General features: G+C 52.6%; 1 protein-coding gene across 2 annotated transcripts in view, besides 8 other annotated features; it reads left to right on the forward strand.

Annotated features, from left to right (window-relative positions):
- Nucleotides 1-13,699, forward strand: part of DCPS (decapping enzyme, scavenger) — a 45,946-nt gene that overhangs the window by 23,206 nt on the left and 9,041 nt on the right. For both annotated transcript variants that reach the window (NM_001350236.2, NM_014026.6), the window contains exons 3-4: nt 4,140-4,285; nt 11,021-11,134. In NM_001350236.2, coding sequence (NP_001337165.1) covers nt 4,140-4,285; nt 11,021-11,134 — 260 coding nt within the window. The remainder of the gene's footprint in view (nt 1-4,139; nt 4,286-11,020; nt 11,135-13,699) is intronic.
- Nucleotides 396-1,120: an enhancer, noted in NCBI's record as "H3K27ac-H3K4me1 hESC enhancer chr11:126197556-126198280 (GRCh37/hg19 assembly coordinates)". NCBI's record gives its function as "activates a minimal SCP1, AML or CMV promoter by ChIP-STARR-seq in naive H9 embryonic stem cells {active_cell/tissue: H9 hESC(naive)}" and the evidence as "EXISTENCE:reporter gene assay evidence [ECO:0000049][PMID:30033119]".
- Nucleotides 1,121-1,843: an enhancer, noted in NCBI's record as "H3K27ac-H3K4me1 hESC enhancer chr11:126198281-126199003 (GRCh37/hg19 assembly coordinates)". NCBI's record gives its function as "activates a minimal SCP1, AML or CMV promoter by ChIP-STARR-seq in naive H9 embryonic stem cells {active_cell/tissue: H9 hESC(naive)}" and the evidence as "EXISTENCE:reporter gene assay evidence [ECO:0000049][PMID:30033119]".
- Nucleotides 5,883-6,384: an enhancer, noted in NCBI's record as "H3K27ac hESC enhancer chr11:126203043-126203544 (GRCh37/hg19 assembly coordinates)". NCBI's record gives its function as "activates a minimal SCP1, AML or CMV promoter by ChIP-STARR-seq in naive H9 embryonic stem cells {active_cell/tissue: H9 hESC(naive)}" and the evidence as "EXISTENCE:reporter gene assay evidence [ECO:0000049][PMID:30033119]".
- Nucleotides 7,513-8,014: an enhancer, noted in NCBI's record as "H3K27ac hESC enhancer chr11:126204673-126205174 (GRCh37/hg19 assembly coordinates)". NCBI's record gives its function as "activates a minimal SCP1, AML or CMV promoter by ChIP-STARR-seq in naive H9 embryonic stem cells {active_cell/tissue: H9 hESC(naive)}" and the evidence as "EXISTENCE:reporter gene assay evidence [ECO:0000049][PMID:30033119]".
- Nucleotides 9,162-9,724: an enhancer, noted in NCBI's record as "H3K27ac-H3K4me1 hESC enhancer chr11:126206322-126206884 (GRCh37/hg19 assembly coordinates)". NCBI's record gives its function as "activates a minimal SCP1, AML or CMV promoter by ChIP-STARR-seq in primed H9 embryonic stem cells {active_cell/tissue: H9 hESC(primed)}" and the evidence as "EXISTENCE:reporter gene assay evidence [ECO:0000049][PMID:30033119]".
- Nucleotides 9,725-10,288: an enhancer, noted in NCBI's record as "H3K27ac-H3K4me1 hESC enhancer chr11:126206885-126207448 (GRCh37/hg19 assembly coordinates)". NCBI's record gives its function as "activates a minimal SCP1, AML or CMV promoter by ChIP-STARR-seq in primed H9 embryonic stem cells {active_cell/tissue: H9 hESC(primed)}" and the evidence as "EXISTENCE:reporter gene assay evidence [ECO:0000049][PMID:30033119]".
- Nucleotides 10,289-10,850: an enhancer, noted in NCBI's record as "H3K27ac-H3K4me1 hESC enhancer chr11:126207449-126208010 (GRCh37/hg19 assembly coordinates)". NCBI's record gives its function as "activates a minimal SCP1, AML or CMV promoter by ChIP-STARR-seq in naive H9 embryonic stem cells {active_cell/tissue: H9 hESC(naive)}" and the evidence as "EXISTENCE:reporter gene assay evidence [ECO:0000049][PMID:30033119]".
- Nucleotides 11,773-12,972: an enhancer, noted in NCBI's record as "BRD4-independent group 4 enhancer chr11:126208933-126210132 (GRCh37/hg19 assembly coordinates)". NCBI's record gives its function as "activates an origin of replication core promoter dependent on BRD2, P300/CBP, MED14 and CDK7 cofactors, and independent of BRD4, by STARR-seq in HCT116 cells {active_cell/tissue: HCT116}" and the evidence as "EXISTENCE:reporter gene assay evidence [ECO:0000049][PMID:35650434]".

Genomic DNA, 13,699 nt, shown 5'->3' on the forward strand with positions numbered 1-13,699 from the left:
CCACTAGTTTTGTTGAATGCCCCTGGATTTTGGTTTGCTGATATTTCCTCATGACTGGACTCAGGTTATGCGTTTTTGGCCAGAATTCCACATGATCAGGAGGCACATGATGTCGGCGTGCCCAGCAGGGGTGACGGTGACGCCCATGGCCTGGCCGAGGTGGTAGCCTTTTGCTGCTGTAAAGCGACTCGTGTTCCCTTTGTAATTAATAAGTAATCTATGGGAGATATTTTTGAGACTGTGCCTGTGTATCGTGTTTCCCAACGTGTTTTCACCTGATGGTTTGATTGTTTATTGAGCATTGACTCCTGACCAAACTCCTCCTGAAGTTCAGCTGCAGGTCAACATCTTGACGGGCATTGAGGTAAACACCAGCGTTCATTGTTTTTTGGCTGCCATCGTAAACCTTAGCATTAGGAAATATATTGATTTGTATCAGAGAGGTTTTATTTCATCTGGGACAAAAATGCTCTTCCTGGGTTTAAGTCGAAAAGGCCAGATTCATTGATTCATTTGTTCACTAAGTATTTACTGAGTGCTTACTGTATGCCAGGCACTATTCCAGGTGCTGGGGACAAATTGTTTTCTTCCGGAAGCTGCATAGTAGTTGGGGAGTCAGACAGTCCATCCACCTGCTGCTGTGAGGGAGTGAGAAGTGAAGAGGAAGCAAGCTGGTGGAGGAGACAGAGGACCCCGAGGTTAGGGCTGCTGTTTTACCAGAGCTGACCGAGCCTGAGGAGCTGGCCTCAGAGCAGAGGCCTGGATGAAGCGAGGAGCAGCGTGGCTCGTTGGGTAGGAGGGTCAGCTCGGCCGTGGGAGCGGCCAGGGCACGGCCTGGAGAGGAGCCCATGGCTGACGCGAGTTAGTGGGTCAGTGGGGAGCCGGCGCGGCTGGAGCAGAGGCCCTAAGCGGGAGAGAGGCAGTGCATGAAGGTGGAAAGAGGGCCAGGGCGAGGTGACCAACAGCCTCGTAGTCCACGGCAGGAAGCGCGGGAGCTGTGGAGCAGGGGACAGTTTGAGGGTGGCAGCTCCCACCTCAGTGTGGCCCTGACTGAGGCTTTCGGTGGAGACCTGAGGGAAGCCAGGCCCCTTAGGAGTGAGTGCTCTAGGGGGACGTGGGGAGCTCTGAGAGTCCTGCAGTCAGGTTCCCATCCCTGCAGGTGCACCTCAGGAAAGGCAGGAGGATGGCAGGAAGTGAGCAGTTGGAAAATAAGCACCTGTGGATGCTCTTGCTGCTGAGGGGAGGCGGGAGGGGCTGGCTGGGTGAGACGCCAGTTTCCCTGCACCCTGGGTGGCTGGGGCAGGTCTCCCACAGGCCTCGGCAGACCAGGGCATGCTCACAGGCCGGGTGGCTTTCTGATCTGGAGCAGCCAGGAGCCCCAGGCTGGGAGCCCGGCTGGGTGACCCTGCCCGCAGAACCCGGCTGCTCTCCAGCGCCCGCTCTGCCTCTGTGCCCTGCCCATCTCTCCCCCACTCTCAGGGAGCTCCACTGCCCAACCCAGGCAACGGAGGCAACAGCGGAGAGAATCCAAGCTAGCCTGGGGGGAGCGCTTTTCTCCATGTGAGGCACTTCCTGAATCTTTCCTTCTACTGACTCGTTTAATTCTCCCAACAGCCCTGGAAGGTAGGTGCTGTTATTGTTACCCCAGATTGTAGAAGTCAGGAGACTGAAGCCACAGACAGTGTCAGTCACTAGCCTGAGGTTACGCCACTAATAAGTGCAGAGCCAGGACTTGCACCCAGGCTGACTGGCTCCAAAATCTCTGTTCTCATCCACCAAGCTCCACTGCAGATGTATGGATTTCCCTCAGGTCCACTGCAAGGGCCAAGGTGGTGCCGTTCAGTCTACTTCAAGCAGTCTCCCGCCTCTTGAGATCTTGGTGTGCCTGACCTCTGACCTCTGGCCCATGACCTATGACGCTGAGCTGTTAGAGAACAGAGTGAGAAGCAAGAAAGAGTCTTTTGCTGCTCCTCAGAGAGTTGTGAGGAGGCCTTCATGCCCCTTTTTCAGGGTCAGATCCGGGGATTCCCAGGATTGGGTGACATTTATTTAGCAACTCGTGATCCAGCTGACACGTTTTATTGAATGTAAACAACTCTGTGAGGCAGATTTGATGACCACCCTTTAATAGGTGAGGAAGCCAAGGCTCTAAGACGTTAAGCCCCATGCCCAAGGGTACACAGCCAGTATGGAGAGTCATGTGGCCAGCCTGGGGCCAGTGGCCATGTCTTCCCACTGTGCTGCTGTGCCACCCAGAGCTGAGGGCCTGGGATGTTTGATGGGACAGAAGCCACGTGCCTGGTATGTCATCTCTGTGCATCCCCACTGGGACTTGGAAGTAGAAATTGGAAGTAGCCTGTGGTGTTGCAGGAGCACTGGCTTTAGGGTGAGATGGCCTCAGTTCCAGGTTCGCCTCTGCCACGTTTCACGGTGTGATACTGGATGACTCTTTTGAGTCCCAGCCCACCCTCTTCACTGACGTATGAAAGCGGGGTTAAAACCACCTATGACCTCAGACCAAATATGAAAGTATAGGTTGATAGTTCTTAGCCGGGTTTTGCGGTGTGTGAGTGAGTATGAGGACTTCGTGGTGGTGAAATGTGCCCGCTGGGTTTTCAGCTCTCTCGGGTTTCCCTGGGAGAGCCTATCCGAACCCAGATTAAGAAAGTCAGAGGGAACCATGGGTCTTTTGAGAAAGATCCAAGCTGATTTGGAAATACCCCTAAGATCTATGTTAAAACACAATGTATACATGTTAGAGTAATGATGACAATTGTACCAGATGTTTTTAAAAATAAAGGAAAGGACTTAACCAAAACCAGGTGGTTTTGGACCAGGAAGCTAGCCTAGAGTCTGTTTAGGAAAACTGCAAGACATCCTTCTAGTTTAAAACTGTGCTTCTCACCTGGGGACACTTTTTCCTTTCAGGGGACACATTGGCAATGTCTGGAGACATTTTGGGTTGTCACAACTTGGGGAGGGTGCTACTAACATCCCAACAGAGGCCACAGGGATGCAGCTGAACATCCTTCAATGCACAGGACAGCCCCTGCAACAGAATTATCCAGGCCAAAATGTCAGTGGTGCTGAGATTGAGAAACCCTGGATTAAACATCACAGCACTTATGTGGTGTTTACTGTGTGCCAGACATTGTTTTAAGAACTTCACAGGTAATTGACTTGTTTAATCCTCCCAGCCTTATGACACAGGAGCTTTTACTATCCTCATTTGGCAGATGAAGAAGTAGGGGCACCAAGAGGTTAAACAGCTGAACCGTGCTCCCGGGTGGGGCCAAGGTCCCATTCAGAATAAGGAGCAGGCAGAGCCAGGACTTGAACTCAGTCTGGCTGCAGAGTCTGTGCCTGGAACCACTGCGCTCTGCTGCACTGCCCATCATTAAGGGGACTACTGGGCTTTAAACCATATATATATATATATATATATATATATATATTTTTTTTTTTTTTTTTTTTTTTTTTTTTTTTTTGAGATAGAGTTTCACTCTTGTTGCCCAGGCAGGAGTGCAATGGTGCAATCTGGGCTCACTGCAACCTCTGCCTCCCAGGTTCAAGTGGTTCTCCCGCCTCAGCCTCCTGAGTAGCTGGGATTACAGGCATGCGCCACCACGCCCGGTTAATTTTGTATCTTTAGTAGAGATGGGGTTTCTCCACGTTGGTCAGGCTGGTCTCGAACTCCTGACCTCAGGTGATCCGCCTGCCTCGGCCTCCCAAAGTGCTGGGATTACAGGCGTCAGCCACTGCGCCCGGCCTTTAAGCCATATTTTCAGCTTTGGGTCCAGAAAGCCACATACCTAGAAATTTGGTATGTGAGAAGAGTTAGAGACCTCTCATTCCTGTGCCTGGAAGATGGAGCAGGAAGGGCTGGGGTTTGCCTGATGAGGGGCCCAGTGACCCACAGGTAAGAACCTTGTGTTTTCCAGATTCTGAGTGTGGCTCAGCTCGTGAATGCAGTGGCACAAGGCACTCTGTGGGAGTGGATCTTGGGTGCATGATCCTCTTGGATTTTGGCTTCCCTCAGGGAATCAAAGCCAGGGTGGGAGTTCTCTCCTCACCGTGGTGCCTGTGGCATAGAGAGTGGGCATTGCTTCCCTGTCACGGGCTGTGCTGTATCATTGCAGATGTAAAGACGACCGTGGTTTACCCTGCCACAGAGAAACACCTGCAGAAGTACCTGCGCCAGGACCTCCGCCTGATCCGAGAGACGGGAGATGACTACAGGAATATTACTTTACCCCACCTGGAGTCCCAGAGCCTCAGCATCCAGGTGACTGGCTGCATGTCTCAGACGCAGAGCACTGCTCCCGTGGCTGGTGCCTCCTCTTACGAGTGTCTATTGGGGTCATATTAGGGGCCAGGCGCTGTGCTGGGCGAGGGGATGGGGGTACAGTAGAGAGCATGGCGGACAGAATCCCCACCTCGTGCAGCTTACATCCCATGCACAGTCACACGGTGTGTGACCATACACAGATATCTCAGGATCTATGTGCTCTGTGAGATAATGAGGGCTGCAGAGAGAAATAGACAGGATAAGTGGGACCAGAAGGCCTGGGGCGGGCAATTGCCATTTTATATCGCATGGCGAGAGAAGGCTTTGGGGGTGGGGGAACTGATGCTGGTCTTGGTCCCACCTGATGTGCTTGGGCATGCCATGGAGGCTCTCTGGGGACCTCAAAGCAATCCAGTCCTTTGGAAGAATGTGTGTCTGCTCTGCAGTAGCCTTGATCCAGCCTCGGGATGACTGTGCCATTGCTTTGGGTCCATGAATGGGTAAAAGGCTGATGTTGAGTGAGTCCCACCCTGTCCAGACTCTTATTCCTGGTTTCACCTGCGGCAAACCGGCCTGCAGGATCTCAGTCTCAGAGGAAAAACTCTTCCCTCACCGACTCCCCCTTGCATTCGTCCAAAAGAAGGCAGGACCCCATTGGCCCCGGGGATTTGGTGCAGGGACTCCATTCACAAGCTGGCAGTCGTCTGGCCAGGCCAGATGCAAGGCCATTTAGCTCCAAGATCCTGACTCCTCCCTGGGCCTAGGCCCAGCGCCAACTGGAGCCTCTGCCTGGAACTGGCCCCATGTGAGTACTCAGAGTTAAATATGACTGATGCTTATTGATGAGTCAGTTTCTTGCCCACTCACTGACTCTGACACTGTGCCTTGTCTTTATCACTCACCCTTGTTCTCTTCGAGCATTTCTCACTTTTCTCCCCAAGATTCAGGTCACTGTGGTGGAGGGTGTTGTGATGTGAGGAACTCACAGCCACTCCTCCCTGGCCCAGAAGAAGGGAGGGTACGCTGTGTGTGTGGGCACTGCAAGGTGAATTGTACTTGACAGGAGTAAGGAAAGGGAGGCTGACAGGGCCTGCAGGAATGAAGTTTCCTTGGGAGACCTGTGTGCCGCCAGCCCCCTTCCCCAGCCTGGTTCAGCCCTGGTCTCCCTGGGCAGCAGTTTGCGTGGGGTGCATCTGGCTCAAGCTGACTTGTTTGTTGTTGTTGTTGTTGTTTGTTTGTTTGTTTTTAAAGTCCCAGCACTTGTTCTGTTTTCCAAGTGAAAAGGAACTATATCTCCACCTTCTTAGAGTTTCTGCTGTTCAGGGTCCTAGGGAATCTCCTGGAACAGTTGTTCTGTTGTGCTGGTTGTGCAGACCTGAGATTCAAGTAAGGAAGCCCTGATGTGGTTGGTGTGAGTAGCTGGGATTACAGGTGCTTGCCACCATGCCTGGCTACTTTTTTGTATTTTTAGTAGAGATGGGGTTTTGCCATGTTGCTCAGGCTGGCCTCGAACTCCTGAGCTCAGGCAGTCCGCCTGTCTTGGCCTCCCAAAGTGCTAGGATTACAGGTGTGAGCCACTGTGCCTGGCCATGTATATTCCTTATTATATACCATTATGCAGTTCCATTCGGAGAAGAGCACAATGAAAACTCCACTACTCTTCCAACTCCTGACTGACGGGAGCCGTTCATGTATTCCTTCTTGGCTATTTCTAGTTTACAAGCACTCAGCTTAACTGGCAACACTCATTATGTTTACTGAGTACCTACTATGGACCTGGTCCTATGCCAGGCTTTGGAGAGTCACCAAGATGATGAAACCTAGACAGGATCTTCACAGTGTAACAGGGAAGATAGACTTGTAAACGGGCAATTGTGACAATGGGATAAGCACTCTGATGCCTAGACGAACTACCGTGGTGATGCAGAGGGACAGTGACCAGCGCAGACAGTTGGGACTTCACAGGGAGAGGATCCTCCCCTTGGGTCTTACAGGACAAATAGAAGTTTACCAGGTGCACAAGGGGAGGGAGGAGCAAGTCCAGAGGCACACAGAGCTGGAATCATCCGATGCTTTGGGGGAGCTGCAAGGAGTTTGGTGTGACTGGGGCTTGGGCTGCTGGAGGGTCAGAGGAGACAGCACTGAGATGGTAGGCAGGGGCCAGGCGGAGGCACGTGGACTTTGTCCAGGGGGCCAGGAGTTCCTGAACCTTGCTTACCATCAGGATTGCCTGGGGGTTTTCATAAATACCGAGCACAGAGCACTATTCCATATCTGCTGAATCTCACGCTTCAGGGAGTGGAGCTGGGAATTCTCTCTCTCTCTCTCTCTCTCTCTCTGATATTTCTGACAACCATCAGATGTGAGAACAGTTGCCATAGGCAGTGAGGGTGCCCTAAACGGTTTTAAGCATGTGGATGATATGGCCCGATTTGCAGAATTAATTGGTGGAGTGGGGGTGAGCATAGAACAGGAAGACTGGGAAAAACCAGTATGGGTCTGAACCAAGGTAGGGACAGTGGGGAAGGATTCTGGAGCAATTTAAGAGGTAGGTCTTCACAGGGCTGGATGGGGCTTAGCAACTGATTGACGTGCAGAGGGGAGGGAAGAGGTTGGGTGATGAGTGGATAGAAGGATAATTCATGACCCAGTATAGGGGACAGAAACAGAAGAGTGGGTTTGCATGGAAGACAGTGAGTTCAGTTTGGAATTCATTGAGCACTTACTATGTATAGTCCAAGAACTGCTCTAAGCATTTATGCGCATCACACCTCATTTATTTATTTATTTATTATTTATTTATTTTTGAGATGGAGTTTCACTCTTGTTGCCCAAGCTGGAGTGCAATGGTGTGATCTCGGCTCACTGCAACCTTCTCCTGCCAGGTTCAAGTGATTCTCCTGTCTCACCCTCCCAAGTAGCTGGGATTACAGGCGCCCGCCACTATGCTGGGCTAATTTTTGTATTTTTAGTAGAGACGGAGTTTCACCATGTTGGCCAGGCTGGTCTCAAACTCCTGACCTCAAGTGACCTGCCCACCTTGGCCTCCCAAAGTGCTGGGATTACAGGTGTGAGCCACCGCACCCAGCCTCACACCTCATTTATTCTTCACAGCAGCCCTTTTGGAGACAGGTCTCAAAGCCAGGCAGTCTGGTCCCAGTATCTGTGCCCTAAGCCAGAGATACTATTTGGCTCCTTAGATGTGAGGTACTTATAACTTCCCAGTAAAAACTGCAGTGGGATGTCTGGATCTGGAGCCTTTGAGATCATCTAGTTACAAATGTCTGTTTGTGAGTCATCCAGCTAGACTTCAACCTCAGCCTGGTGTTTGGATTCTCAGTCTGTCATCTAAGAGCAGCGTGACATTGTCCTTAATTTCGGAGCCCTGGTTTCCTTGTCTGAAAAATGTAACTAATGGCTCCTCCCTCCTGGGTGTTGTGGAAATTGAGAGAGGTGCCATATATCATGTGCCTGCTATTGTTTCCAGCACAGAATGATGCCAGGATGGCAGCCACCATCCCCTACTCTAGGTAACTGTTCAGAGGGACAGGCACAGCAATGGGCAGAGCTAAGACACCTGGGAGACGTGGCCAGGCCACACATGGCTGGAGGGGAAGTGCAAGGCAGCAGGCAGAAGCAGAGAGCAGGAGGTGATGAGGAAGGAGCAAGATGTCTCACGGGAGGTCAAGGCGGGAGAGAGGGTACCGAGGGAGCTGCCAATGTCACCTACTGCAAAGAAGTCCAGCCAGGTGAGTTGCAGAAAGCTGATGGCATCACCCTCTGCCCAGTTTATCAGCAGGGCTGGCCAAGTTCTTGGGCATGGTTTCAGATGGTGGCACTCCCCATTACATAGCTCTCTGTGTTTGTGTGAATTTTGTTCTTTCATTCTCCTTTTTTTTTATCTGGGCCCCTGGCCTGGAGGCTTCCCGTGGATGCAGCTCCCTGCCACTGTCCCAGAGGCCTCTCCCAGGAGACAGGATGTACCTTGGCCCAGGGTGCAGGCTCAGGAGCCAGATACTCATGGTTGGAATTGGCTGACCCAGCGTGAACTTCCTTGCACTTGCATTCTTCTTAACTGTAAAATGGGGACAATGTCCAGGCGCGGTGGCTTATGCCTGTAATCCCAGCACTTTGGGCCAAGGTGGGCAGTTCACTTGAGGTCAGGAGTTTGAGACCAGCCTGGCCAACATGACGCAACCCATCTCTACTAAAAATACAAAAATTAGCTGGGTGTGGTGGCACACGCCTGTAATCCCAGCTTCTTGGGAGGCTGAGGCAGGAGAATCACTTGAACCTGGGAGGTGGAGGTTGCAGTGAGCTGAGATCACGCCATTGCATTCCAGCCAAGTGTGAAACTCCGTCTCAGAAAAAACAAAAAACAAAAACCAACAAAAAAACCTGTCTCTACTAAAAATATAAAAATTAGTCGGGTGTGGTGGTGGGCACCTATAATCCCAGCTACTGAGGCAAGAGAATCGCTTGAACCTGGGAGGCGGAGGTTGCAGTGAGCCGAAATCACGCCACTGCACTCTAGTCTGGGCGAAAGAGCAAGACTCCATCTCAAAAAAAAAAAAAAAAAAATGGCGACAATGATAGCAGCCACCTCTCAGGGTTGCTGTGACGCTGAGAGCAGTGCCAGGCAGAGTGCAGCTGCTCTCACAGTCATCACTCCTTCCTGCAGTCACTCGTCCTCCAGCCCCGCTCTTATTTCCTCTCTCACCACCTCCTTTGCTCTCACCGCCTTTCCCTCTTTTCCTGTCCCCAGTCAGTTTTGTAGCCTCTGGCATACCATCCCACCACCTTTGCCACTCGTGGGGGTCTCCCTTATACTGGCTGTGCTAGGTGCTTTCATGTGCGTGTTCTCTGAAAACCTTCACCACCCTTATGTAGATATCATCAGCCCCATTTTACAAAGGAGGCATCAGTCGCTCACCCAGTGACAGCTGGGAGATGAAACCAGGTCTCCTTGGCTCAGAACCTGTTCACTCTCACTCTTATACTAGTCACAGGCAGATGCCCCTTTTCTGTGAATCAGGGACTGGCCGTGGGGAGGCCTGCTTATGGGGTGCGTTGGGGCTGTCTGTAGGGAATGCCGTCTCCCTCCCTCCCTTGTATTTCCGCTGGCTTCCTCTGGCATCACATTCCCAGGAGATTTCAGGTCAGAGAGGAAATGCCTCTGTGGATGTACTGGCCATGCATTGCTCTGGCCCCGGCACTGCATGAGGAAGTGGCTGCCAGGTGTCCTCCAGACCCCTCCCAGGAAGGGGCCTCATTCGGTTTCTTGGGAACTGCCTGTCTTTTGTTGTGAATGGACCACATTGTGACCGGCCTGTGGGTCTTGTCAGGGGTTTGGGGCCCTCTGAGCTGAAATGCTTCCTGTGGGTAGAGAGTTGCAGGAGACCTCGAGGCCCAGCTGCCCTCTCCCCCGGTCCATCCCAGCTGAGAGGCGAGGATGCAATGCAGTGTGTTCAGCCCTCCAGGCTCAAGGTGTGAGGTTGTGTGGACCATAAGGCAGTCCCCGTGCCTCTAGCCTTCGGTGATGCTACCTGTCCAGCACTTCTGGGAGTGGAAGGAGGACCATGGATGGCTGCCTGGTAGTGTCGGTTCCCTGGCCTCCCCATCCCACCTCGTGTCCATGGCTCCTTCTCCTACATCAGTGAGCTCGGAGACCATTCTGACTGTGAGGAGGAAGGGGCAGTAGTATGTCCTCAGCCACTCCCCTCTCTGGTTTCCTAGCAGGTCTCTCCCCCAGATGTAGGGCAGAGTTCACTGTCCTGCATGAGTTCATGTTTGCAAAGGGCCCTGAGAGCCGGGGGAAGTAGAGGAGAGCTGGGGGTACTGGGGTTTGAGGCCTGTGAGCTCAGGGGCCTTCTCAGCCCAACCTCCTGCAGCCTCCTAACCTCAGACAGGCCTCCAGGACCATCTCTGTAAAGTAATGTCCTTGGGTCAACACAGGCCTGGGAAAGGTCCTCTGCAGACTGTTGACAGCAGCTGATCCAAGGGTGACACAAGGGCTGGGAGCCCTGGGTAGCCCTGAAAGGTCTTGGTGAGGTCACTGTCTCTGTGTCTCTACATAGCTTTCGTTTCTGCTTTGCCATGCGGGGTCTGTGTCAGCAGAGACTGCTGATAAACCGGCATCTGCAGCGGCTCCAGGCGGGCAGAGGTGCTGAGCCCACTGCTGATGAGAATCCCAGTGCGGCGGGAAACGTGCACACATGAGCTGCTAGAGGCAAAGGCTCTCACTGCTCTGGTGGGTAGCTGGCCCCTCCACAGAAGGAAACCGTGGTGCCCTCAGCCTCCTACCTCTCTTTGCCCCATAGTCCTGAATAGAGTGAAATAGGATCCATGGAGGCAGCTCTTCCCCTGAGTCCTGTGAGCGGTGGAGGGGGTCACTGCTATAGAGGGCAGACACAGCCTGGGTTTGGAGGCCTCCGCAGAGCATGTGCACTATGCTGACCAGGAAGAGCCTGGCCCCTTCCAAGCTGCAGAGACCCTTGTGATGACGCATGGCTGAGTGCCAGCTGGAGTGGGAAGGGGGAAGTCCCTTCTGGACCCCTAAGAACAGATGCTTGGGGACAGGGCAGCCCGGATGTAGATCCTCTGAGCGTGGCGGCCTTTTATGGCTTGGTTCTGTCTCCTGGAGAGGCCAGGGAATGCCCTGAGCTCAGTTTGGGGTATCTCTCAAGGGGTGATGAGTGGATTTGTGAACCATCTCTCTCCCCCTCCTTTCAGTGGGTGTATAACATTCTCGACAAGAAGGCTGAAGCGGACCGGATTGTTTTCGAGAACCCAGATCCCTCTGATGGTTTTGTCCTCATCCCTGACCTCAAGTGGAACCAACAGCAGGTAAAGGTTTCTGGCTGGAATGTCCTGATCTCTGGCCACCCTGCTGTAAGTGCTGGTCCTTCTGACTGCCCTCTTTCTCACGCTGGCCTGTCTCTAAGCAGATTATAATTAACCAACAAGGGTTGGCCTGAGCTCTCTGTGGGGACTGGGTGGATACCTGTCATACATAAGTGCTTTTGCTTTAATGGGTCAGCTTAAAGCCCTTTCTGGCTGTCCTCCCACCCAAGAGGTAAAATGGGGTGATGTTTGTGCCCATGACTACATAGGCCATTCCTTACCAGCCAAGTGGTCTGGGCAGCCACCTGTGCTTCCACCCGCATCTGGAGCCCTCGGGTGGGGTGTTTCCATTTTCTCCATTCCCCTTGACACCAGCAGATCCAGGCAGGCCCGTGTTCTGAAGCACTGGCAGGCAGGAACCATGGTGACCAACCCAAGGCATCTCCTCCTCAGCCCGAGCTGTGGAGTAGCTTAGCCCAGACTTCTACTCAGGCCCCTTGGCCCCGTGCCCTGCCTCCAAGCACCTCTGCTTCTCCTACTTTCCTAAGGAGCAGGTTTGGGAGGAGCCGTCCTCCCTCACAGGTATCCCTTTCCAGTTCCCTATGGTCTTCTGTCTCTCCCAGACCAGCCCACCACCAGAGTTATCACTTACCACCACCTCTTTTATACCTGAGAGTATCAGAAGCTTTTATACCCTGACAGGGTCAGAAACAGGCAGAGCCACTGTGTTGCAGAGAGTGCTGTTCTTAACACAGACTGGAACCTGGCTGTGCTCAGCCTGCAACAGAAGAAGGGCCTGGATAAGGCCGAGGTAGGCAGGCAGGCATGGGTGCTGGGAGCAGACAGACATATTCTCTCCTGCACTTTCACCTGTGGAGTAATCCAGGCTCAGATGTGCCGTTCTGCTTTCGGTGGGCCCGTCTAGTTTCTGCACCCGTCAAAGGCTGGAGAGACTCTTGTAGAGAAGGTGCCTTGGAGTGAGCCTCGTCTGCCCCTCCGCGGGCTCGCTCCCTGTGCTTTCCCAGTTGTGGCTGCCTATGACACCTTCAGTTTTGACGTGGGGTAAAGGGGTGGGATTGTGGCTCAGGGTTACACAGGCAAGTGAGCATAATTCGTCTCTTGACAAGAGGCTTGTGGGAATTCCCAAATGTGACCCAAGGGGTGGGAAAGAATTTGAAGGGATTTTCCGAAGTTGCAGCATTGATCGATGATTCCCTAGAGCCAAGTAAGTTCAAAGAAGAGGGCTCTCCTTGTGTGGGGCGCTGCAGTGAGAGGCTAAGGGGACGCCTGCATCCACTCTGCCCTTCCCTGCAGCTTCTCTCTGCCTGTGCCACCTTCAGGCCTTGAAGGAGGGAGCCAGGACTGGCTCTGTAGGCATTTGAAGAGGTAGGACCTGATGGTCCCTTGTCTCAAACTGAGTGGTGGCTCTGCAAACCCCCATCTGTCTTGTGGGGCTGCCCTGCACCTAGAGATCCGGGGTCAGAGCCTGGGTCACAGGAGGCGGGGCCCACCGTTAATGAGAATCCCAGCAGGGCCATAGAGGTGTGGGGTAGGAGGAGGACCTTCTGCCGCACCAGACTCTTGAAGACTGAAGAGCTTGCCAGGGGATCGCAGTCTTAAGGTCATGGAGGGACAACAATAGACTTGTCCGTCTGTATTCCAGAAGCCCTGAATGCATTTGAGCCCACGGCAGAGAAGAGAAATCTGCCGTCCTTCTGACCCCAGTGCCTCCAGGCTCTGCTTCAGCTGCCAGTGGAACCTCCCTTTTTCTGTCCCCTTTAAGACAGGAAAGACTTTAGGAGCTGCACTCTGGCTGCCAGCCACAGGGCTGGAATTACTTGTCCTCAAGGGTCATGAAAGGGCCAGCTTAAACGTCACACTTTGCTTCATAGCGATGCAGGTGTGGTCCTTCTTAACATTTGCTTAATTCTTTTTTTTTTTTTGAGACAGAGTCTCACTCTGTTGCCCAGGCTGGAGTGTAGTGGTGTGATCTCAGCTCACTGCAACCTCCACCTCCTGGATTCAAGCAATTCTCGTGCCTCAGCAACCCAAGTAGCTGGGACTACAGGCGTGAGCCACCGCGCCCGACCTTAATTCTTACTTGACTTTTGATGATGCTGTATTTTAGCGTCTCAAATCTTTGACTTGTGACAGCACTGAATTGGTAGCTCTCTTTGAATTAGGCAATGTATCCAGCAGGAAGATAGGCCATGCCTGGGCTTCTATCCTTTGTCTTTGGGACAGGGAAGGGCTGGGGATAGGGAGGCACCCTGGTGTTTGCTTTGAGGAGCTTTCCTAGCCACCTTGAATCTCCTCCTGCCACTGGTCCTGGAAGTTACTGTCTCCAAACTGATGCCCCTGAATTAAAGAGATAATCCATTTTTTCATCCATTCAACATGTATTTATCAGGTGCCTGTTTGCTAGAGACTGTGCCTCCTTAGAGGTTATAACATCCCTTCTTCTGTTCTCTTAAAGGATCACCTGTGTGTTCTTTTTTTTTATTTGTTTATTTTCTTGTAGGTTTAGTTCATGCATGTGGCAAAAATGCACACAGTACAGAGGATATT

This window comes from Homo sapiens, chromosome 11, assembly GCF_000001405.40.
Source record: "Homo sapiens chromosome 11, GRCh38.p14 Primary Assembly".
In the NCBI taxonomy this organism is placed as follows: Eukaryota; Metazoa; Chordata; class Mammalia; order Primates; family Hominidae; genus Homo; species Homo sapiens.